Genomic DNA, 25,003 nt, shown 5'->3' on the forward strand with positions numbered 1-25,003 from the left:
AAGTAACTAAGAACTCCCTCAACATCCCTCAGCCCCCTCCACCTTACCTACAAATTGCTCAGCAAACTGTCCTGCTATCTTACAGGAAAAGGAAACCTTCTTTTTAGCTATAGCTGAAATAGTGCTATTTTAGAATAATTATGTTCCAAGTATTGCAAGCAATACACTTATAGTAAAAATCACCATTGTTTATTTGATAGTCAAATTTAACCTGGCATCCTGTATTTTATCTGGAAGCCCTACATCTCCAAGTAGATAACTTTCTAATCTCAAATCCCAGATTTTTATGTGCAAATGCCTCCTTGTGCAGTTTACCACTTGAATGTCCCACAAGCCCTTTAAACACAACAGACCTCAAACTGCACTTAGTACTTCCTCCAAAATCCTGTTCTAACCCCTCAGTAAATGGTATCACCATAAACCCCAAAACCTGTAAGTATCCTTGGACTCCTCTTTGACCTTCACACCCATAAACAATCTCTAAATTTGATCAATCCTACCTAACCATTTTTAAATCTATTATCTTTTCCCACTTTATTGTTGATACTCAACTATTAAACACACCACATTCTCTCACCCCTCCATGACGTGGCTATTTTCTCTGCTATATTTTCTCTGTCTGAAACTCTTAGTCAATTTTTATAATACAATTGCTACCTGCTATGTGAAACCTTCCTCTCCTTCCCATATAGATTTAGGGCTCCTTCCCCTATGCTCCCAATGCACCTCACACAATTTTAAAGCACTTACCTAAGACTGTGATTTTGTATTTTTTTTTTTTCAGATGGAATATTGCTCTGTTGCCCAGGCTGGAGTGCAGTGGAGCAATCTCTGTTCACTGCAGCCTCCGCCTCCTGGGTTCAAGTGATTCTCCTGCCTCAGCCTCCCCAGTAGCTGAGATCACAGGCATGTGCCACGAAGCCTGGCTAATTTTTTTGTATTTTTAGTAGAGTTGTGGTTTCACCGTGTTGGCCAGGCTGGTCTTGAACTCCTGACCTCAAGTGAGCCACCTACCTCGGCCTCCCAAAGTGCTGGGATTACAGGTATGAGCCACCACTCATGGCCTTGATTTTGTATTTGCACAAAAGGTGGCACAGGCCAGGCACGGTGGCTCACGCCTGTAACCCCAGCACTTTGGGAGGCCGAGGCAGGTAGAGTTCGAGACCAGCCGGCCAACATGGTGAAACCCCGTCTCTATTAAAAATACAAAAATTAGCCAGGTGTGGTGGTGGGCACCTGTAATCCCAGCTACTCGGCAGGCTGAGGCAGGAGAACTGCGTGAACCCAGGAGGTGGAGGTTGCAGTGAACCGAGATGGCGCCACTGCACTTCAGCCTGGGCTACAAAGCAAGACTCCATCCCAAAAAAAAAAAAAAAAAAAAAAGAAAGAAAAAAAAAAGGTGGCACAAAGCAGCAGAAAGCATACAAGTTTGAAGACAATTAGGTTTAAATGAGAATGCATAAGATATGCTTAGCATAGCTTCTCACAAGGCACAGTCACTCAACAAATATTACTTCTCTCATTCTCATAACTTTTCTCTCCATTACACTATCAATTACCTTGAGAGCAGAAGTCCTATCTTTTCATCTCTGTAGCCTTTCTGAAAACAAAGTAACTAATACAGTTTACCATCCTGGTTAAGGGTTTGGGCTCTTGAATCAGACTGCTGGAGTCCAAATCCTGACTCAACCATTTATTAATTATGTGACTTTTAACGGGTTACTATCTAGGACTCAGCTTCCTCATGGGTAAAGTGGGAAGAGAAACAGTACTTAACTGAGGGTTGTGAGCATCGAATGGATTAAGGTATGTAAACTGCTCACAACAATGTTCAAGTATTATGGATTACAGCAGGCAGGAATAAAAACTCACTGAATGAATATGAATACTCAACATATATGAATATAAGGACTAAACTGCAACTTTTTTTTTTTAGATGGAGTCTCCCTTTGTCGTCCAGATTGGAGTGCAGTGGCGCAATCTCAGTTCACTGCAACCTCCGCCTCCCAGGTTCAAGTGATTCTCATGCCTCAGCCTCCTGAGTAGCTGGGATGACAGGCGCCCACCACCGCGCCCGGCTAATTGTTGTATTTTTAGTAGAGACAGGGTTTCACCAGGTTGGCCAGGGTGGTCTTGAACTCCTGACCTCAAGGGATCTGCCCACCTCAGCCTCCCAAACTGCTGGGGTTACAGGCACAAGCCACCGCGCCTGGCCTTCAACTATAATTTTAATATCCAGAACAAACTCTTAGAAAATCAGAAAATAAAAAACATTTTTATTTATCTCTTATTTTCCAATATTCAAAGGAGATTCATCAATGCAACATAGAAAATAATACACAATTTGTTCAATTGGCTTTTCAATCATAGTCTATACCCTCAATCATGAAAAAATATAGCCTATTCACCTGAAAACATTAATATAAACCAAAGACAACTGAGCAGTTCCTACCCTCTTAAATATACAATCTAAGCTGCTAGGGAGATTTCCATTATCACAATTTTTATATTCAGAAAGAACATTGAATTAACTTAAAGCACATTATTTGTTAAGTGTATAGGCAAGGTATAATGAAAGAAATATTGCATCTGGAGTAACAACAAACTGTTGTATCCCAGTTTTACCATGAGACACTGGTGAAGTCACTTATTCCTTCAGGTTCAGCTTCCTTATATGTGAAAGAGGCTCTTTTATTCCAATTATTGAACATGTACTTTGTGCCAAATCCTGTGCTAGGAATTGGAGATTCAGGTCAATAAGACCAATTTCTGACTTCAGAGAGACTGCAGTCTAGTGTGTCAATGAAAGATGAGGAGGAGATGGCCAGATTAGTATAATCAGTATGAAGACAAAATTCATTGACCTGTAGATACCATAATAAAAGTGATTGCACTATACAATTAAAAAAAAGAGAGAGAGAACAGCTCATTCTACTTGTGAGTGAGAAACTTCATCTTAAAAGAGGACAAAATTTTGCCAGCCTACCTAGCTTATTTCTTCTTCCACCGGCACAAGAAATGGCAGGTGCAAAGGCAGGGAAATAAAATGCAACCGAGTTTTAGAAGATAGTTTTGAGTGAACTGCAAATAGCTGGCAGCAGCATAGATTTGAAAAGGTGGAAACAATGAATGATGACACTGGAGAGGGAAACAAAGGCCTAAACATGGATGGTTTGGATGTCACATTGAAAGATCTTTGCTTCATCACACTGGAGGAAACAGGGTCTTTAAAGGGAGAAATATCACTCGATCTATACAGTACAATGGCATCACTGTAGAGTGTTTTGATGGGATATGTGACTGAAGGAAGGAGAATAGGTAGGAAACTATTATAAAAGTCCAAATGAAAAATAATGAAATAGTTCAGGCATGATGGCTCATGCCTGTAATCCCAGCACTTTGGGAGGCCAAGGCAGGAGGATTGCTTGAGGTCAGGAGTTCAGGACCAGCCTGGGCAACATAAGGAGACCCCGTCTCTACAAAAACTAGCTGGGTGTGGTGGAGCATGTTTGTGGTCAGCTACCTGGGAGGCTGAGATGGGAGGATCGTTTAGAGTGCAGTGGCCATACTCACACCACTGCACTCCAGTATGGGCAACAAAGTGAGACCCTGTCTCAAAAAAAGGAAACAAAAAAAAGAGAGAGAGAAATAATGAAATATAGAAGAACATCATGGGTCAGATACAAAAAATATTTAAAAGCTAAAAACCACAAAACCTGGCAAAGAAATGGTTACTTTAGGCAGAGAAAGAGTAAGAATTTACCATCTGGAGGGAAAACAAGTAGCATGGATGCCACCATCCCCCACTCCACATCTAACAGACACTACCTCAGAACTCTTCTTAGCCCAGCACTCTAGCAAGGCATAGAGTTCATGAGTGAAACAAAACCTACCTGACATCCCTGTCTTCTTATGATACTGCCTGTGGCTGGGCATGGTGGCTTACAACCATAATCCCAGCACTTTGAGAAGCCGAGGTGGGCAGAGCACTTGAGGTCAGGAGTTTTGAGACCAATCTGGCCAACATGGCGAAACCCAGTCTCTAACAAAAATATAAAAAATTAGCCAGGCGTGGTGGCGCACACCTGTAATCCCAGCTACTCAGGAGGCTGAGGCAGGAGAATCGCTTGAACCTGGGAGGCGGAGGTTGCAGTGAGCCAAGATCGCGCCACTGCACTCCAGCCTGGGAGTGACAGAGCAAGACTCCATCTCAAAAAAAAAAAAGGAATGATACTGCCTGTGAGATGGTGTGAAAAATAAAATTGTTTTTTATTATTTTAAAATATAATTGCTTTGCTGATACAATAAAGTCAATAACTTTGAGTGTAAAGCGAAAGAACTGTCCCAGAAGAAAAATTCCTTGCCAAAACAACTAACTCATCTCTCCCATTGATTTTATTTTATTTTTTTTTGAGACGGAGTCTCACTCTGTCACCCAGGCTAGAGTGCAGTGGCGCAATCTTGGCTCACTGCAAGCTCCGCCTCCTGGGTTCACGCCATTCTCCTGCCTCAGCCTCCCAAGTAGCTGGGACTACAGGCGCCCACCACCACGCCCAGCTAATTTTTTGTATTTTTTGTAGAGACGGGGTTTCACCGTGTTAGCCAGGATGGTCTCGATCTCCTGACCTCGTGATCTGCCTGCCTTGGCCTCCCAAAGTGCTAGGATTACAGACGTGAGCCACTGTGCCCAGCCTCCACATTGATTTCCGTGCTCTCCATTCTGGGTCCCTATGGGGTAGCCAGAATGATCTTTCCAAACACAAATCTGTTTCATCTTACTTTCTCACTTAAAACCCTACAATTGGCCAGGTGTGGTGGCTCACGCCTGTAATCCTAGCACTTTGGGAGGCTGAGGTGGGTGGATCACCTGAGGTCAGGAGTTTGAAACCAGCCTAGCCAACATGGTGAAACCCCGTCTCTACTAAAAATACAAAAAATTAGCCAGGCGTGGTGGCAGGCGCCTATAATCCCAGCTACTGGGGAGGCTGAGGCAGGAGAATCACTTGAACCCGGGATGTGAAAGTTGCAGTGAGCCACCAAGATTACAACATTGCAGCAAAACTCCATCTCAAAACAAAAACAAAAAACCCTATAATGGCTATCTACTGCTCTTAGGATAAAAACCAAAATTTATAACAAGGTCTGCTACGTCCTACATAATCCAGCCTTAAACTATATATACAGCCTTATCATAGAGAAGCAGAATAGCACAAGTTCTGGAGTCTGACCACCTGGATTTGAATCCAGTCTTTGTCATTTACTACTAACTGTGATCTGTGGTAAACTATTTGGCTTTTTTGAGCTTTGGTTTCCTCATCTGTAAAATGGGGATAATAATATGGTGGTAAGAATGGTGCCTGACACACTCTTAAGCATATATAAATATTAAGTTAATAATGTCACATATGATTATGATATAATATATACTACATACTGATATACTAATGCCAGCTATTTTTATTGTTGTTGTTTTAATCATTATCATCATCACCATTTTCATACCTTTTCTGTTCCAGGCTCACTGTTCCTGCAGGTCTTAAAAAGAACCATGCATCTTTCCAACTCAGGGCTTTCCTATTCACAGTTCCCTCTGTCTGTAATACTCTTCTCCATACCCTTTGCCTAATCAATTCATTCTTCATAATTCAGCTTACACATCCTTCCCTTAGAGAGGCCTTCCCTAGCCATCCCCAGGCAGACCACAACCAAAACTAGGTCAGATTCCCCATTTTAGGCTTTTCTTCCAGAGTACTTGTCATAGTTTGTAATTATATATATTACTTGACCAATACTTTTGTAATCTCTGCCTCCTCTACTAACATATAAGCTCTACAAGGGAAGGGACTAAGCTGACTTTGCTCAATCCTGGATCCCCAGAGACTAGCACAGACCACAAATTCTTAACAGAATAAAGGAAAGTACTACCAGATACAAGAGAATTTTTTTTAAGTGACAAGTATGGAAAAATGGTAAATATATTACTTTCCTTCCACACACAAAAAAATCATGTAGTTATAGCTTTCATTCAAAGAGCAAAAAACCAGCCAGGAATGGTGGCTCATGCCTGTAATCCCAGAACTTTGGGAGGCCAAGGTGGGTGGATTGCTTGAGCTCAGGAGTTTGAGACCAGCCTGGGAAACATGGCCAAACCCCGTCTCTACCAAAAATACAAAAAAATAGTTGAGCATGTTGGTGTGTGCCCTGTGGTCCCAGCTACACAGGAGGCTGAGGTGGGAAGATCACTTGAGCCTGGGAGGTGGAGGCTGCAGTGAGCTAAGGAGATCGCACCACTGCACTACACCCTCAGCGACAGCGAGAGCCTGTCTCAGTTTGGGTTATTTTAAACTTACAAACCAGAAGCCGTTTAACTAAAATTTTTCAGTTGACCAGATGGAAAAGAAGGAATTTTTTTAAATTTTTAAATGAAGATGAAATGCTTACTTGAGCATTGTCTGGTTCTTCTTTAATTTTGTCCAGAAGCTCCTGCTGTGGTACCACTGCTTTGCCACATTCACCATCCAAAGGTTCTTTCATTCTAATTTTTTACCTCAAAGAGTGTCTCAGGCTCAAACGAATAGATTTCTTCTTGGTAATGGATAGTTGGACACCTAAAATACATACTCAGGCTTATTCTTTTTTCTTCAGGCTTATCTATATGAAAGAAAAACTTTGTGTTGAGTGCATGAGGCTTCACGGCTCGGCATTTGAAAAACAACTCTTCTGGGGCCACAACTAACTTTTTTCTTTCTTCCTGCTTTCTGTTCCTTCAGTAGCTACATAAGAAAACAGTTTTGGGGCAACAGCTCCCACTTCTCTAATATCTTTAAAGACACACAACACACTCTGGTTTTTTCCTATGTTGAAGGTTATTGAAGGGAATTAGACCAGCAGACCAAGACGTGGGAGGAAGTAATAAACTCTGAGAAGAACGGACTCAAGAAATAGTTTCTGACCCCATAAGAATCAGTACTTAGAGGCCCACGTCGGCTTTTATTTCTCAAAGAGGGGCACAACAACCTCCCGGCCCTGACCTATAACTCAACCTTCACTGGAAGCCTCCCTAAGGGCCCCATTTCTCGGCCTAACGCTAGATGTGAGCTCAAGATGCCATCCATCGCAGGCGAACAACAGGAACGCCCTTACTGAAAGTGAGTCACCTGCCTCTTTCAAGGTCTCCGTGTGAGGGGTGGGGGGCATCAAGCCCCTCAGAGCCCCGCTTCACAATCGCCTTCCTGTAGAAAAGAAACTCAATTGGCCATTCAGTAAATTCCCTTCCCCTAAAAGTCAAAGAACTAAACGGGACGAATTAAACCTAAAACAAAAAGCTCTTCAAAGTTGTCTTTATCCGAATAGTCCGGGATGGAAACGGACAACTGGTTGAAAAGCCTGTTCCAAAGAAGAAATGAGAACTTTTGCGCACTCGCCACAAAATATCTACGGGCGCTCATCCCTCCTCTGAGAACCGCACGCTTTCCGAAATTCTCCTTCCCACCAAGAATTCCCACTCCCATCATTGAGGACTAACGAGGCAATGTGGTCTCCGACTGAGAGCGGTGGACTAGCCAGTGAATGTCAACGCGTCCCTAAGGCGATATCCGCAGCCGCCCCAGCCGCGTAGCCCACCTGGCACCGCCCCCGCCGCAACGCCTCGTCACGTGGTGTGGCCTCCGCCCCGCCGTCCCGCCCACTACCACTGCGGCCGCACCCACCTTCTGTCGCCTCCCTGCTACCGGAGGAGCACTGGAATAGGAACCAAGTCCTCTGCATCTAGACAGGGATTATTTTCTCTTCTGGAATTCCGCCTGATCCATCCCAACGCAACGACCGGCCAACCACGCCTGCGCAGCCTTGGTCTCCGCCCTCTTTTCCCGTCAGGCTCCGGACCTGAGCTGAGTAGAACTTCCCAGCATTCCTCTTTCCTCAATTATGGTTCACTTCTTAAAGAGACCGAGGCTCAATAGTGAAAAGGTGGAGATGGCGTTAGAAGGCGCTGTAAGTGCTCTATAGCATTCTTTTTTTTTTTTTTTTTTTTTTTTTTTTTTTTTTTTTTTTTTGGAGACAGAGTATCACTGTGTTGCCCAGGCTGGGGTGCAGTGGCACAATCTCGGCTAACTGCAACCTCCGCCTCCTGGGTTGAAGCGATTCTCCTGCCTCAGCCTCCCGAGTAGCTGGGCTTACAGGCACGTGCCACCACACCTAGCTAATCTGTAGCATCCTTTAGTGCCCATTTCCTGAAAGGTGGCCTACTGAGAGAGCATGATATTAAATAATACTTGGCTTGCTGAGCACTTCACATGCACCATCCCACTTAATCCTCACCATTTAACCCTAAGAGGTATAATTTTTTAATCTCTTGAGATATAAATGAAAAAACTTGCTCAAAATTGAGATTTGGTTTTTTTAATTCAACATTGTTTCACAGATACGTGTATGATTTGTGACTGTTCATTCATTTTGACTGCTGTATAGTATTCTATTTTATGAATATGATACAATTTTAATCATCTACTACTGATGGACATTTGAGTTGTTTCCAATTTGTGGCTATTAGGAATAATGCTTCTGTGAACATTCTTGTCATTGGTGATGTTAAAAGACAAAATTACAACAAATTTAATTTAAATATCTCAATTAGCTTTATTTGTGATTCTAGAATCTGGCAGCACTTCATTCCATAAAATAGAACAAGTGTTCCAATGAGCTGAGCAGAAGAGGTAGGTTTTATAGACAGAGAAGGGCTGGAGAAAGCAGAAGTAAAGAACAAAAAACAGATTGGTTCATTTCAAAGTAACTTTCCAAAAAATAAATAAATAAGTTAATTTCCTTGTAAAGCAGAACCAAGAAACAAAACAATAGAGAAATAACTGATTGGTTAACATCAGGTAACTTCAGTTTATCTTTTTTTGGTAACGATTAAAGCAGAAGAAATTTCATTATTATGCTAATTGAAACTGGCACTCAGGGGAAATTAGACTCTTATTATCTCTTTTTCCTGACTTTTCAGAACTTCAAATAACAACGTAGTTTCCATTTGATGACATGGAACCTCAGTGTGAGTGACTCCATTTTGATTTTTAGTCTGGTTCATTGAGACCTACTGCAGGAGCTTAGCCCGAAACAATGGCCTACAAGTTTTATTTAACAGTGATACATATGCACACATTTCTGTTGGGTTCATACCTAAAAGTGAAATTGCTTGTTATGTATATGTAAAATTTAGGTAGATAATCTCAGGCAATTTTAGAAAATGGTGGTTTCAGTTTATACTCCCTTCAGCCATGTATGAGAGTTTCAGTTTCCCAACATCCTTGCCAATAATTACTGCTGCATATCTTTTTAATTATAACCATTCTGATGGGGGCATAGTGGTATCTCACTGTGGTTTTAATTTGCATTTCCCAGATTATTAATGAGGATGAGCCCATTTTCTTGTTCCTTGGGTATCTGGATATCCCCCATAAGTGCCTGTTCAAGTCTCTTGCTCATTTTTGTATTGGATTGACATTTTCTTATGGGCATATATTTTAGATATGAATCCTGCTATGGTTTGAATGTATGTGTCCCTTCAAAATTCATATATTGGAACTTAAACATTAAGGCGATGGTATAAGAAGTGGAGCCTTTGGGAGGGGTTAGGCTATGAGGACTCCATCCTCATGAATGGGATTCATGCCCTTACAAAAGAGGGCATTCATGCCCTTCACAAAGATTCATTCCTTTTGCCCTTTTAACCCCTCACTGTATGATAACAATGTTCCTCCCAGCAAGAGGACAACAACAAAGTTTCATCTTGGAATTAGAGAGTAATTCCAAGACAACAAATCTGCCAGTGCCTTGATCTTGGACTTGCCAACCTCCAGAACTGTGAGAAATAAATTTCTACTATTTATAAATTACACAGTCTGTGGCATTTTCTTTTGGCAATCAGGAATACACTAAGATAAGTCTTTTTTGAATATACACTAGCCCCCCTCATCCACGGTTTTGCTTTCTGAAGTCGTAGTTACCCACACTCAACCACGGTCTGAAAATATTAAATGGAAAATTCCAGTAACAAATAATTCATAAGTTTTAAACAACTTTCATTAAAGTCTATTGTTATAATTGTTCTATTGTTAGTTGTTAGTCTCTTTCTGTGCCTGATTTATAAATTAAACTTTATCATAGGTATGTATGTATAGGAAAAAACATAGCATATATAGGGTTTGATACTACTGGAGGTTTCAGGCATCTGTGGAACATCTTCGAACATATCCTCATGGATAAGGGAGGGACTACTGTATATATTGCAAATATCTTCTCCCACTCGGTAGCTTGCCTTTTCACTCTGTTATTGGTGTCTTTTGATGAACTTAAAAGACCTTTGTGGCCGGGTACAGTGGCTCATGCCTATAATAGCAGCACTTTGGGAGGCTGAGGCGGGCGGAACTCTTGAGGCCAGGGGTTTGAGACCAGCCTGGCCAACATGAGGAAACCCTGTCTCTACTAAAAATACAAAAATTAGCTGGGCATGGTGGGCACCTGTAATCCTAGCTACTAGGGAGGCTGAGGCAGGGGAATCACTTGAACCCCAGAGGCAGGGGTTGCAGTGAGCCAAGATCGCACCACTGCACTGCAGCCTGGGTGGCAGAGCAAGACTCTGCCTCAGGAAAAAAAAAAAAAATTAGCCGGGTATGGTGGTGTGCACTTATAGTCCCAGCTGCTCGGGAGGCTGAAGCAGGAGAATCACGTGAACCAGGAAGCGAAGGTTGCAATGAGCTGAGGTCATGCCACTGCACTCCAGCCTGGGTGACAGAGCAAGACTCCATCCAAAAAACAAACAAACAACAACAACAAAAAAACCCTTTGTGCTTAGTGCTTATTGTATTCTCTTAAGAAATATTTTCCTACCAAATGAAGAAAATTTCTAGAAGTGTTATTAGTCTTTCACATTTAGTTTTATAATCCATCTGTGGTTGGGTTATGTGTATAGTGTAAGGTAAGTCAGATTTCAACCTTTCCATGTGAATTTTGCATGGATTAAGCACTATTTTTTAAAAAGACTGTCCTTTTCCCCACTGTTCTGCATTGACACCTTTGTCATGTATCAGTTGTCTATATATGTGTGGGTTTATTTCAGGACTATGAAGGCTGTTCCTTTTGTTTCTCCTTGTGGAAATACCATACTGTCTTAATTTCTGTAATAGCTTTATAATAAATCTTAGTATATGATAGAAAAAGTCCTCCCTCCTATTATGTCCTTCAAGATTATCTTGGCTTTCCTTGGTCCTTTGCATCTTCATGTAAATTTTTGAATCAGCTTGTCAGTTGTGACAAAACTTTCCTTACAAATTTTAGAATCCATTGGGATTTTGTTTAGTATTATACTGAAGTGGTATGCCTGTTTTGGAGAATTGGTATTTGTTATTCATTATGTTGAATTGTGTCACCTAAAAAGATATGTTGAAGTCCTAACCCTTAGAATGGGACCTTATTTAGTCATATAGGATTGTTGCAGATGTAATTAGTTAAGATGAGGCCACACTGAAGGAAGGTGGGCGCTTCATCCATTATGACTGGTGTCCTTAAGAGAGGAGAAGATATGAAGACATACACATTGGAGGAGAACCCCATGCGATGATGGAAACAGAGATTGAAGTACTGCAGTTGCAAGCCAAGGAATGCTAAGGATTGTTGATAACACCAAAAGCTAAGAGAGGCAAGGAAAGATTCTCCCATATAGGTTTCAGAGAAAGCATGACCCTACCGATCTTTAATTTTAGACTTCTAGCCCCAAGAATGGTGATATAAATTCTGTTTGTTTTTTTTAAACCTAGTTTGTGGTACTTTATTAAAGCAGCCTTAGGAAACTAATAACAGCATTCTGTGGGGTTGAATCTTTCAATCCATAAAAATGATATATTCCTCCATTTATTTTGGTGTCTGTAATTTATCTTGATGCTTTATAGTTTTTAAGTGTAGATATTGCACACCTCTTTGTTAGATTTATTCTAGGCATTTAATATTTCATGTCATTTTAAATGTAAATTTTTATTTTCTAATTGTTTTCAGTGTAAATATAGAAATACAATTATTTTTGTATGTTGGTCTTGAAGCTAGCACCCTTGCTGAATTATTAATTAAACTAATTAATTCTAATAGTCTAGCCATTTTTCTTACTTTCTGTTTCCAGCTATGTAGAGAATAATGACCATTTTATTTCTTTCCAATTATATAACTTATTTCTTTTTCTTGCCTATTGCAGTGGCTAAAACCTGTAGTAATATGTTGAATGGAAATGGTGATATTGGGCATCTATATCTTCCTGTTATGTTGCTTTCAACATAAAATTATTGAATATTATATTTACTTTAAGATGTTTGTAGTTACCTGTGGAAGGTTAAATATGGCCATAAAGTTGTTACAACTTTTCCCATCAAGAGGAGTCTTTAGTGTGCAGATGGCAGATTTAAAAACAAAGAGAGAGAGAGGGAGTCTGTGATAGTTAATTTCATGTGTCAACTTGAATCTGTAGGCTCAGTAAAATAGAATGTCCTCCCAATATAGAAAAGCATTATCCAATCCACTGAAGGCCAGGCCAGAATAGAACAAAAGGTGGAGGAAGGAGGAATTTGCCCTCTCTCTCGCTCTTTTTTTTTTTTTCCTGCCTCACTGTCTGAGCTGAAACATCCCCTCTTATCTTCTCCTGCCCTCGTACTAGGATTTATACCATCAGCTCCCCTGCTTCTCAGACCTTTAGACTCAAATTGAATTACACCACTGGTTTCCCTGGGTCTCCAGCTTGCAGACAGCAGATTGTGGGACTTCTTCGCCTCCATATCATGTGAGCCAATTCTTCATAATAATAAATCTTCGTATCCTATTAGTTCTGTTTCTCTGGAAAACCCTGACTAATACATAGTCTTTTTTCCTACCTGTTGTTTCTTGACTGGGCTTGTGAATTATTTTGACTGACAAAATGTTATAGAAGTGATACCATATGAGTTCCTAAGCATAGGCCTCTATTGTCCTTGGGGCTTCTGCTTACGCTGTCATAGAACACTCCTACCACCATGTCAAAGTTAAATGGGATAACTGCTGACTGATGAGAAGTCACATATGGAGAGTGACCCCATGGCCAGCACCAAGGCCCCATACATATGAGTGAAGCCATCTTATATCCTCCAGATTACTAGATGATTACAGCATCTGTTGTTATATAACAAAACACCCCTTTGTAGATAACTGTTAGAGAACTGATATCTAGAAATGGGATACTGCCATAACTAAAACATAAAACATGTGGCATTGATGTTGGGACCAGGCAGCAGGCAGAGCCTGGAAAGACAGCAAGGAGGCTTTGAGTGGAGGTTAGAAGAGCAGTGAGGAAACTTATTAAAGCCTGGAGAGAGAACAACCAGTGTGATGCGTTGGCAGAATGTTTGGCAGCACTGTCATCTGTGATAACTTAGAAGCTAGGAGACATACTTAATGACCTTCTGGATCTGCCTTAGGAGATTCCCATGCAGAATGTTAAAAGCGTTTGCTGATTTCTTTTAACCACGTAGGATGTTGTATTGCAAAAGAGAAATAAGCCAAAGAAGAAATTATTCAATTTTCAAGCAGAAATGAGACAAAATGTAAAGGACTTAGTGAGTAAAGGACTAAGGACTTAGCAAAAGATCACCAAAATAAGAAATGGCTTCAGAGCAAAGATCAAATTTAGGAAATTGCAAGTTAAATGAGGCCTCAGATCAAATCAAGAGTGCAGCTGTAAGACTTCGTAAGGAATTAGGCAGTGCCTTGTAGACCATCTCACCTAGACAGAAGGACTTCGGAGAAACATAAGGGCATTGCACTACAGCAATCAGACACATCCAAAGTAGAGAGACTTCTGTCTCAGAAAGAAGTATGGATGTGGTTTGGGGGGTATGGTGTGAATCCAAGTAATATTCATAAAATACCCGCAAAGTTTTAAAGAGAAGTATATTGGCAAAAGTGAAACTATAGATTGTAAGGGGCAAAGACAGTTTGAAACAAAAAGGATCCCTGGGCCCTCAACTTTCTGTGGGTGGAAAGAAACTGAAAAAGCTACTCAACTACAAATATGGACTGTTTCTTATGGAAAATGCTTTCTCAGGGTGTAAAGCCAACATCTCAGAGGGCAAAAGGCAGAATTAAAAGCTTCTGAAAATAAAATGGATCATGAAACCATTCCTGCCAGGGGCAGTGGCTCACACCAGTAATCCTAGCAGTTTGGGAGGCCAAGGTGGGCAGATCACATGAGTCCAGGAGTTCGAGACCAGCCTGGGAAACATGGTGAGACCCTGTCTCTACAAAAAAAATACAAAAATTAGCTGGGCGTGGTGGCACGTGCCTACAGTCCCAGCTGCTCAGGAGACTGAGGTGGGAGGATCACCTGAGCCCAGTGGCCAAGATCATGCCACTGCACTCCAGCCTGGGCAACAAAGTGAGACTCAGTCTCAAAAAAAAAGCCATTCAATAAAACAAATCAAAGAACAATTCCTATCCTCAGAGTAGGAGAACAGGTGCCCAGGTAAATTTCAGAATTATTATGAATCAATAACTATTAATGTACCTTCTATTCTTCCCTTTTTTGAATAGGAGTATTCGGTGGAGTCATTATGTCTCTATATTATCAAGTGTGTTGGTGTGTGGGTGTGGGGAGTGAGGAATAAGGGGAGCAGGTAAGTCATCTATTTAGTTCACAGGTCTCTGGGTTGAAGAAGTTGTACCTGTACACCCAATAAACTATACCACAGGAACTTCTTCTTCATGGGCCTTATTTAGATAGTGAAATGCTGGACTTTGATCCAAGGCCATAATGGTTTGAGACTTTTGGTGGAGTGGATGAGTGTGTTTTGATTGGGAAAGGATGTGGATTGCTATGGCCAGAAGGTGAACTATGAAAGATTGTTTCTGGGCTGGGTGTGGTGGCTTAACACCTATAATCCCAGCAATTTGGGAGGCCGAGGCAGGAGGATCACTTGAGCTCAGGAGTTTCAGACCAGCTTGGGCAACATAGTAAGATCCCCATCTCTACAAAAAATACAAAATTTAACCGGGCATGGTGGCGTGTGCCCGTGGTCCCAGCTACTCAGCAAATGGAGGCAGGAGGATCCTTTGAGCCCAGGAGGTTGAGGCTGCAGTGAGTCAAGGCTACAGTGAGCTATGATTGTGCCATTGCACTCCAGCCTGGGTGACAGAGTGAGACACTGAAAGAGAGAAGAAAGAAAAGAAAGAAGGAAAGAGACAGAAAAAAAGAAAGAAATAAAAGATTATTTCCAAAGATGCTGTCAATAATCCCATCTTTGATGTGCATGATGCTTCTCCCATCAAGAGGTGGAATTAACTACAGGCCAATATCTCTGATGAATATTGATGCAAAAGTCCTCAATAAAATACTTGCAAAAAGAATTCAATAATACATTAAAAAGAACATTTACTATGACCAAGTGGGATTTATCTCTGGGATCCAAGGATGGTTCAACATGTGCAAATCAATCATTGTGATATATCAACAGAATGAAGGACAAAAACCATATAATCATTTCAATTGATGCTGAAAAAGCATTTGATAAAATTCAACATCCTTCAAGATGAAAACCCTTAAAAAACAGTATAGAAGGAACATACCTGAGCATAATGAAAGCTGTATCCAACAGACCCACAGCTAGTATCATATTGAATGAGGAAAAACTGAAAGACCTTCCTCTAAGATCTGGAACATGACAAGGATGCCCATTTTCACCACTGTTATTCACCATAGTAATGAAGTCCTAGCTAGAGCAGTCAGACAAGAGAAAAAAATAAAGGGTATCACTGGGCACAGTGGCTCATGCCTGTAATCCCAGCACTTTGGGAGGCCGAGGTGGGTGGATCACCTGCAGTCAGGAGTTCAAGGCCGGCCTGGCCAACATGGTGAAACCCCGTCTCTACTAAACATACAAAAATTAGCTGGGCATGGTGGCACACACCTGTAGTCCCAGCTATTCCGGAGGCTGAGGCAGGAGAATTGCTTGAACCCAGGAGGTGGAGGTTGCAGTGAACCAAGATCATGCCACTGCACTCCAGCCTGGGTGACACAGTGAGACTCCGTCTCAAAAAAATAAAAATAAAAATAAAAAGGGTATCCAAATTGGAAAGGAAGAAGTCCAATTATCTTTGCTTGCAGATGATAGGACCTTATATTTGAAAAAACCTAAAGAGTCCACCAAAAAATTATTGGAAATGATAAATTCCTCTGGGCATGGTGGCTCACACCTGTAATCCCAGCACTTTGGGAGGCCAACGCGGATGGATCACCTGAGATCAGGAGTTCGACACCAGCCTGGCCAACATGGCAAAACTCCATCTCTACTAAAAATACAAAAATTAGCTAGGCATTGTGGCGCGCACCTGTAATCCCAGCTACTCGGCAAGCTGAGGCAGGAGAATCACTTGAACACAGGAGGCAGAGGTTGCAGTAAGCCGAGATCGCACCACTCTGCACTCTAGTCTGGGCAACAAAGCAAGACTGTCTCAAAAAAAAAAAAAAGTGATAAATTGCTAGCTACGGTGACTCACCTGTAGTCCCAGCACTTTGGGAAGCCAAGGTGGGCAGATTGCTTGAGCTCAGCAATTCAAGAACAGCCTGGGCAACAGGGTGAAACCCCATCTCTACCAAAAAGACAAAAAATTAGCCAGGTGTGTTGGTGTGCACCTGTGGTCCCAGCTACTTGGGAGGCTACAGTAGGAGGATTGCTTGGGCCTGGGAGGTGGAGCTTGCAGTGAGCCAAGATCATGCCACTGCACTCCACCCTGGGTGACAGAGTGAGCCCCCATCTCAAAAAAAAAAAAATTGATAAATTCAGTAAAGTTGTAGAATACAAAATCAATATACAAAAATCAGCAGGATTTCTATATGCCAGCAGTGAATAATCTGAAAAAGAAATTTAAAAAAGTAATCCCACTTACAGTAACAACAAATAAAATTAAATACCTAGGAATTAATCAAAGAAGTGAAAGATCTCTGTAATGAAAACTATAAAATACAGATGAAGGAAATTGAAGAGGACATCAAAAAATGGTAAGCTATTCCACGTTCATGAATTGGAAAACTCAATATTGTTAAAATGTTCATACTACCCAAGGCAAGCTACAGATTCAATGCAATTTCTATCAAAATGCCAATGATATTCTTCATAGAAATAGAAAAAACAATCCTAAAATGTATATAGAACTGGCCAGGCACAATGGCTCACACCTGTAATCCCAGCACTTTGGGAGGCAAAGATGGGAGGATTGCTTAAGGTCAGGAATTCGAGACCAGCCTGGCCAACATGGTGAAACCTCGTCTCTACTAAAAACACACAAAAAATTAGCTGGGTATGGTGGTACCTGCCTGTAGTCCCAGCTACTTGGAGGCTGAGGCACAAGAACCACTTGAGCCCAGGAGGCAGAGGTTGCAGTAAGACGATGCACTCCAAACCTAAAAAAAAAAATTTTTTTTTTACGTAGAACTACAAAAGACCCAGAATAGCCAAAGCTATCTTAAGCAAAAAGAACAAAACTGGAGGAATCACATTACCTGACTTCAAATTATACTACAGAGCTATAGTAACCAAAACAGCATGATATTGGCATAAAAACAAACACATAAATCAATACAACAGAATAGAGCAACCAGAAACAAATCCACACACCTACAGTGATCTCATTTTCCACAAAGGGGCCGATAACATACACTAGGGAAAAGACAGTCACTTCAATAAATGGTTCAGGGAAAACTGGATATCCAAACCCTGAAGAATGAAACTTAAAACTTGACCCCCTTCTCTCGCCATATACAGAAATCAAATCATAATCCCAGCACTTTAAGAGGCCAGGGCAGGAAGATCACTTGAGCCCAGGAGTTCAAGACCAGCACGGGCAACATGGCAAAACCTTGTCTCTACAAAAAATACAAAAATTAGCCAGGTGTGGTGGTGCTTACCTGTGGTCCCATATACTTGGGAGGCTGAGGTGAGAGGATGGCTTGAGCCCAGGAGTCAGAGGTTGCAGTGGGCTAAGGTCGTGCCACTGCCCTCCAGCTTGGGCAACGGAACCATACTTTATCTCAAAAACAACAAAAAAGAAGTCAAAAGATTTGAATAGACATTTCTCAAAAGAAGGCATACAAATGGCAGTCATGATGAAAAGGTGGACATGAAAAGGCGAAAAGATTAACATCATTGATCATCAGAGAAATGCAAATAAAAACTACAATGAGATATCATCTCACCCCAGTTAAAATGGCTTTTATCCAAAAGACAGGCAATAACAAATGCTGGCGAAAATGTGGAGAAAAGGGATCCCTCATACGCTATTGGTGGGAATGTAAATTAATACAACCACGGTGGAGAACAGTTTGGAGGTCCATCAAAAAACTGCAACTAGAGCCACCATATGATCTAGCAATCCCACTGCTGGGTTTATACCCAAAAGAAAGGAGATCAGTATATTGAAGAGATATCTGCACTCCCATGTTTGTTGCAGCACTGTTTACAACAGCCGAGATTTGGAAGCAACCTAAGCACCCATCAACAGATGAATGGATAAAGAAAATGTGATATTTATACACAATGGAGTACTATTCAGTCATAAAAAAAGAACGAGATCCTGTCATTTGCAACAACATGGATGGAATGGAGGTTATTATGTTAAATGAAATAAGCCAGGCACTGAAAGACAAACATAAGATGTTCTCACTTATTTGTGAGATCTAAAAATCAAAACAATTGACTTCTTGGAGATAGAGAGTAATGGTTACCAGAGGATGGGAAGGATAGTTGGGTGGTGGGAAAGTAGGGATTGTTAATGGGTACCAAAAAAATAATTAGAAAGAATGAATAAGACCTAACATTTGGTAACACAACAGGGTGACTATAGTCAATAATAATTGTACATTTTACAATAACTAAAAGTATAATTGCATTGTTTGTAACACAAAGGATAAATGCTTGAGGCAATAGATACTCCATTTTCCATGATATGATTACTACACATTGCATGCCTGTCTCAAAACATCTCATGTATCTCATAAGTATATATACTTGCTATGTACCCACAAAAATTAAAAATAAAAATAATTTTTAAAAGAGGTGGGAAGGCCAGGCCTGGCAGCTCACACCTGTAATCCTAGCACTTTGGGAGGCCGAGGCAGGTGGATTGCCTGAACCCAGGAGTTCAAGACCAGCCTGGGCAAGATACCTCAAAAATTAGCCGGGCCTGGTAGTACATGCCTGTGGTCCCAGCTACTCAGGAGGCTGGGAGGCTGAGGTGGGAGGATTGCTTGAGCCCCAGGAGGTGGAGTTTGCAGTGAACCGAGATCACACTGCTACACTCCATCCTAGGCAACAGAGTGAGACCCTGTCTCAAAAAAAAAAAAGAGAAAAGAAAGTGGAATTAGTTTCCCACCACTTGAATCTGGGCTGGACTGTGACTTACCTTGACCAATCAATTGCAAGGGAAGTGACCCTGTGACAGTTACAAGTGTAGGTTTTAAGAGGATTGGCAACTTCTGCCACCACATAAATAGGTCTGGCCAACCTGCTGGAGAGACCGCATGGAGAGAGAGGGAAAAAAAAGTCCCAGAACCTCCCTGCCAATGTCCCAGGCTCATGAGTGAAGCCATTCTGGATGTTCCAGCCAAGATCCTAGAAGAATGTAGCCACAGAAATAACCCCAGTCAACATGAAGTGGAACAGAACTCCCAGGTTGAGCCCAGCCAATCACCGAATCGTGAGAAATAACAAATTATCATCTTAAGTCACAAAGTTTTGGGGTACTTTGCTATATAACAACAGACAACTGACACACTAAAATAGTTTGCAGCTTTTAGTCTGATGTTATTAACAATTTCCTCTCAGTATGCGTGTTCAGTTTCAAGAATGTTTTCTTTGTCCTTCTATGAAAAATTCCCAGTTGCAATGTTATGTTGTATTTAGATTTCACTGTATAGATTACAGATTTATTATTACTCTTTCTTTTTATTTTCTCCTACCTTGAAAACTAGTTAGAGTACTCTTTCAATTACTTTTCTCAGATAAAGTTATGGATGATATACTGCCTGAATCCCTGATTATTAGTTAATGACTAAATTTCTATAACAAAGAAACCCCAAAATGCAATAGCTCAAGCAAAATTGAAGTTTATTTTTCTCTCATGTTGCATTTCAGAGCATTGTTTTAGGACATTCGCAGTTATGCTGCTACACAATCATTTATGGACATAGTATTCCCCCATCTTGTTTCTTTATCATTGAAACTGAGTCACAGGCACATCTTCCTGAGAGTGTGAAGAGGGCACACACTGGTCTTAAGTCACTGGGCTCAGAAATGGCACATAACACTTCTGATCACATTCTATTAGAGACAGCTTAGTCCATGTAGCCACGTCTAACTACAGTGGGGGCTGGGAAATAGAATGTCATGTTTGAGGCTACAATTATAATCCCACAGGAAAGGAGAAGATTGAATTTTACTGGAAGGCTAGCAATCTCCCTAACATCTTGTACAGTATTCACAAAACTGTCATCAATTTGCCCAAGAATGATAGCTATGCATAAGATTCTTGGATTTTAGTTTCTATCACAGTACTGTAGAACAGAAATGCAAAGCTAGTCTAATTCTCTTTCCTTTATAAGTAAAATGTTCTTTTTAATGCCTGGAATCATATAAGCCTTTTTTCTTTATCCTTGTTTCAGTTAGGATTTTCCCCAGTTACTACTCACCCACCCTGCACTATGCTCAGTAACTGGAGAGCTGCCTATCACTTTCCAGCAACTCTTTTTTTTTTTTTTTTTTTGAGATGTAGTCTCGCTCTGTGGCCCAGGCTGAAGTGCAGTGGCACGATCTTGGCTTACTGCAACCTCCACCTCCCGGGTTGAAGCGATTCTCCTCCCTCAGCCTCCCAAGTAGCGGGACTACAGGCACATGCCACCACGCTCAGCTAAGTTTTGTATTTTTAGCAGAGACGGGGTTTCACCATATTGGTCAGGCTGGTCTTGAACTCCTGACCTCAAATGATCCGCCTGCCTTGGCTTCCCTAAGTGTTGGGATTACAGGCGTGAGCCATGGCACTTGGCCTCCAGCAACATTTTAAAAACATTTCATAACCCAATATATTATTTTTTCAGCAAAACTTAGTGATTTTTTCTCCTAAATAGAGTAAATAAAACTAAACATAGCCTCACATCAGTTCTGGTCAGGCTTTGCTGCTAAAAGAGTTCAGGTGTAGTTATATTATGCCACCAACTGAATTATGAAAAACTTTCATTTTTAGAGCCTTTCAAATTTCAAGATTGTTAAGTAAGAGACTGTGGACCCGTAAATTTAAGTTTAAACTTTTCCTACTTTCTCATGAAGTTTCTGTTTATGATGGTAAGAATCAAGGAAAAGGTTTTGTTTTGTTTTTGTTTTTGTTTTTTGAGATGGAATTTCACTCTTGTTGCCCAGGCTGGAGTGCAATGGCGTGATCTCAGCTCACTGCAACCTCCGCTTCCCAGGTTCAAGTGATTATCCTGCCTCAACCTCCCAAGTAGCTGGGATTACAGGCATGCGCTACCATGCCCAGTTAATTTTGTATTTTTAGTAGAGACGGGGTTTCTCTATGTTGGTCAGGCTGGTCTTGAACTCCCGACCTCAGGTGATCCACCTGCCTTGGCCTCCCAAAGTGCTGGCATTACAGGCATGAGGTTTTTGTTAATATGCACTTTACATCACCCCTTTTCTGGTGATTTGGGAGCACTACCTTGGTCTGCATATGTGGCTTAAACAAGATGGAAATTTATTTCTCTTTTACATACATAGAAGTTCACAGGTTGTTGGTATGGCAGATCCATAAACATAAAAAAAGTACAAATTATAAGTGTAAAACTCCATGAATTTTGTTATTATTATTATTATTACTGTTATTATTGAGACAAGGTCTGACTCTGTCACCCAGGCTGGAATGCAGTGGCACAATCTCAGCTCACTGCAACCTCTGCCTCCTGGGCTCAAGTGATCCTCCTGCCTCCGCCTCCTGAGTAGCTGGGACTACAAGCATGCACTACCATGCTTAGCTAATTTTTGTATTTTTATAGAGACAGGGTCTCACTATGTTGCTCAGGCTGGTCTTGAACTCCTGAGCTCAAGCGATCCATCTGCCTCAGTCTCCCAAAGTGCTGGGATTACAGGTGTGAGCCACCATACCTGACCAGCTCCATGAATTATTACAAAGCAAATATAGTATTTTAACCATTAACCAGACCAAGATATAGGACATTACTAGCCCTCCAGAAGGCCTACTTCTGAGGAAATGAACTTTGGAATCCTTCTGTGAGTGCCTTATTTTATTTTATTTTATTTTATTTATTTGAGACAGGGTCTTGCTCTGTCACCCAGGCTGGAGTGCCGTGGTGCAGTCATAGCTCACTGAAGCCTTGAGCTCCTGGGCTCAAGCAATCCTCCCACCCCCAGCCTCCTGAGCAGCTGGAACTATAGGGACACCCTACCATGACCAGCTAATTTTTAAAAAAAATTTTTGTAGTGATAAGGACTCACAATCTTTTCCAGGCTGGTAATGATAAATTTTAAATTGGGAGGATAAATAGTCTTCTGGCAACCAGATGAGGGGGTGGACTTAGGGGAAAATTGGGGGAACAATGGTGCCAACACGAAGTCACATGACCCATAGCAAGACCAAGCAAGAACCTGCAAATAGAGGTAAAAGGGCCCAGCTTTGTATCGTGCCAAAACCAACTCCAACACCAAGCTTCTGGGTTCAGGGCAGAAAAACAAGTCAATGCAAGGGCTGTACCCAGAGGCATCTGGAGAAGAGTCAGACAGTGAATATGAACTATCCCAGGAACGTGAGCCCACACAGGATAGTGTTCAGCCAATATTTCAGCATGCCTCCGCTGTAGGTTTATTTCAACCTTCAGAGATTTGATGCAAGTCCCTTCCTCAACCCAGAATGAGGACAAATGCATCCATGGAATTACGTGGACTGAAGCCCTGGTTTGGCCTTGACCACATGCTGGTCCCAGACCTGAGAAAAACTCTCTTGCTACACCTCAGTAGCTACCATCTGACTGCCTTGGGCTCCCCCTCTCTCCAGCAGAGAGAACAATACTCAATCACTGCCCCCACCCACAAACACTCTGGTTATGCCCTAATTCTGTGGGGCCAGAACTGGTTCAGGCTCTAATCCAGAAACTGCTGCTTCCCAGAGACCATAGAAATATTCTCACTCTCTCACTCTCCCTCAGCCTTGATCATAGGTCTCCCACCCATGGCCAGAGCTGACCCAGCTCCTCAGCTCTGCACACACCTGCACACACTGGCCCTGCATCCTCTGACTGGACCCACTCTGGCCTCGATTCTCACCCTCACCTCCAGCTGTTGCTCCACAGGCCTCAGAAGTGAGGTCTCTTTCATTTTTCTTCCTTCACGTCAAGGCTTGACTCACTCTGTCTGCTGGGCTTCTCTGCACTTGGCATTTCCTTTTTCTCTGGTTATAGGAGGAGGAAGACAATTTCTCCCATGGGTCCCAGAATTCCTTTGTGGGATTAAATTGTCCTTATGTGACTCAGAAACCACCAGCTTGCCTCTGTTATCTGACCTCTAGGAATGGAACTTCTATTTTGTAACTCTGCTGGCCAGAAAGGGTCTCAGGAGGCTCTCTCTGGGACTTCCCCTTCTGGTACTCTGGTGCTTTACCTGCCTCTAAATTGAGCATGTCCTGTAAATGGCTCTCATGGAATGGTTTTCTTCTTTGAAAAATAAGTTTATAACAGCTTTTTTGAGATACATTTCACATACCATACAATTCACCCATTTAAAGGGTACAATTCAATGGATTTTTGTTTATTCACAGAATTCTGCAACCATTACCACAATTGATATTACAACATTTTCATTGCTAAAAAAAAAAAAAAAAAAACAAAAAAAGGCCAGGCACGGTGGCTCATGCGTGTAATCCCAGCACTTTGGGAGGCCGAGGCGGGCGGATCACGAGGTCAAGAGATCGAGACCATCCTGGCCAACATGGTGAAACCCTGTCTCTACTAAAAATACAAAAATTAGCTGGGCATGGTGGCGTGCGCCTGTAGTCCCAGCTACTTGGGAGGCTGAGGCAGGAGAATCACTTGAACCCAGGAGGTGGAGGTTGCAGTGAGCCGAGATCGCGCCACTGCACTCTAGCCTGGCAAGAGAGCAAGACTCCATCTCAAAAAACAAAAAAAAAAACAAAAAAGCCCTGCCCATTAGCAGTCACTCCCCATTTCCCACTGACCCCTAGGCAACTATCAATCCACTTTCTGTCTCAATGGAATTGTTTGTTCTGAACATTTTGTATGAGTGGATTCATACAATATGTGGTTCTTTGCGACTAGCTTTTTTCACTTAGTATAATGCTTTCAAGGTTCATCCATGTTGTAGCAAATATTACTATTCCTTTTTTTCCTTTTTTTTTTTTTTTTTTGAGATGGAGTCTCACTCTGTCACCCACGCTGGAGTGCAGTGGCGCAATCTTGGCTCACTGCAACCTCTGCCTCCCAGGTTCAAGCGATTCTCCTGCCTCAGCCTCCAGAGTTGCTGAGATTACAGGAGCATGCCACCATGCCCGACTAATTTTTGTATTTTTAGTAGAGATGCAGTTTCGCCATGGTGGCCAGGGTGGTCCAGAACTCCTGACCTCCAGTGATCCACCAGCCTCAGCCTCCCAAAGTGCTGGGATTACAGGCATGAGCCACCATGCCAAGCCTCTTTTTATTGCCAAATAATATGGATGGATTACCATATTTTATTTATCCCTTGTATGGATATACCACATTTTATTTATCCATTCACCAATTGATGGACATTTGGGTTGTGTCTACCTTCTGGCTATTATGAAAAATGCTGCTATGAACAGTCATGTACAAGCTTTTGTGTGGACATGTTTTCATTTCTCTTAGCTATATACCCACGAGTGGCATTGCTGGGTTATATGGTAACTC

General features: G+C 41.7%; 1 protein-coding gene and 1 long non-coding RNA gene across 2 annotated transcripts in view, besides 5 other annotated features; one reads left to right on the top strand and one right to left on the bottom strand.

Moving 5' to 3' along the window:
- Positions 1 to 7,840, bottom strand: part of ZMYM6 (zinc finger MYM-type containing 6) — a 45,781-nt gene extending 37,941 nt beyond the window's left edge. The window contains exons 1-2 of the mRNA NM_007167.4: positions 7,710 to 7,840; positions 6,442 to 6,608 (exon numbers count right to left, since the gene is read on the bottom strand). Of these exons, the coding sequence (NP_009098.3) occupies positions 6,442 to 6,534 (93 nt within the window). The 5' untranslated portion in view covers positions 6,535 to 6,608; positions 7,710 to 7,840. The remainder of the gene's footprint in view (positions 1 to 6,441; positions 6,609 to 7,709) is intronic.
- Positions 7,142 to 7,668: an enhancer, noted in NCBI's record as "H3K27ac hESC enhancer chr1:35496848-35497374 (GRCh37/hg19 assembly coordinates)". NCBI's record gives its function as "activates a minimal SCP1, AML or CMV promoter by ChIP-STARR-seq in primed H9 embryonic stem cells {active_cell/tissue: H9 hESC(primed)}" and the evidence as "EXISTENCE:reporter gene assay evidence [ECO:0000049][PMID:30033119]".
- Positions 7,142 to 7,679: a biological region, named in NCBI's record as "H3K27ac hESC enhancer GRCh37_chr1:35496848-35497374".
- Positions 7,560 to 7,679: a silencer, noted in NCBI's record as "silent region_635". NCBI's record gives its function as "represses an Ori minimal core promoter by ATAC-STARR-seq in GM12878 lymphoblastoid cells {active_cell/tissue: GM12878}" and the evidence as "EXISTENCE:reporter gene assay evidence [ECO:0000049][PMID:35858748]".
- Positions 7,669 to 8,193: an enhancer, noted in NCBI's record as "H3K27ac hESC enhancer chr1:35497375-35497899 (GRCh37/hg19 assembly coordinates)". NCBI's record gives its function as "activates a minimal SCP1, AML or CMV promoter by ChIP-STARR-seq in primed H9 embryonic stem cells {active_cell/tissue: H9 hESC(primed)}" and the evidence as "EXISTENCE:reporter gene assay evidence [ECO:0000049][PMID:30033119]".
- Positions 7,850 to 8,029: an enhancer, noted in NCBI's record as "active region_721". NCBI's record gives its function as "activates an Ori minimal core promoter by ATAC-STARR-seq in GM12878 lymphoblastoid cells {active_cell/tissue: GM12878}" and the evidence as "EXISTENCE:reporter gene assay evidence [ECO:0000049][PMID:35858748]".
- Positions 8,615 to 12,865, top strand: LOC124903990 (uncharacterized). Its single transcript, XR_007065739.1, has 2 exons — positions 8,615 to 9,052; positions 12,701 to 12,865. It is a non-coding gene; the product is annotated as an uncharacterized LOC124903990 (long non-coding RNA).
- Positions 12,866 to 25,003: the final 12,138 nt, after the last annotated feature.

This window comes from Homo sapiens, chromosome 1 (assembly GCF_000001405.40).
Source record: "Homo sapiens chromosome 1, GRCh38.p14 Primary Assembly".
Taxonomy (NCBI): domain Eukaryota; kingdom Metazoa; phylum Chordata; class Mammalia; order Primates; family Hominidae; genus Homo; species Homo sapiens.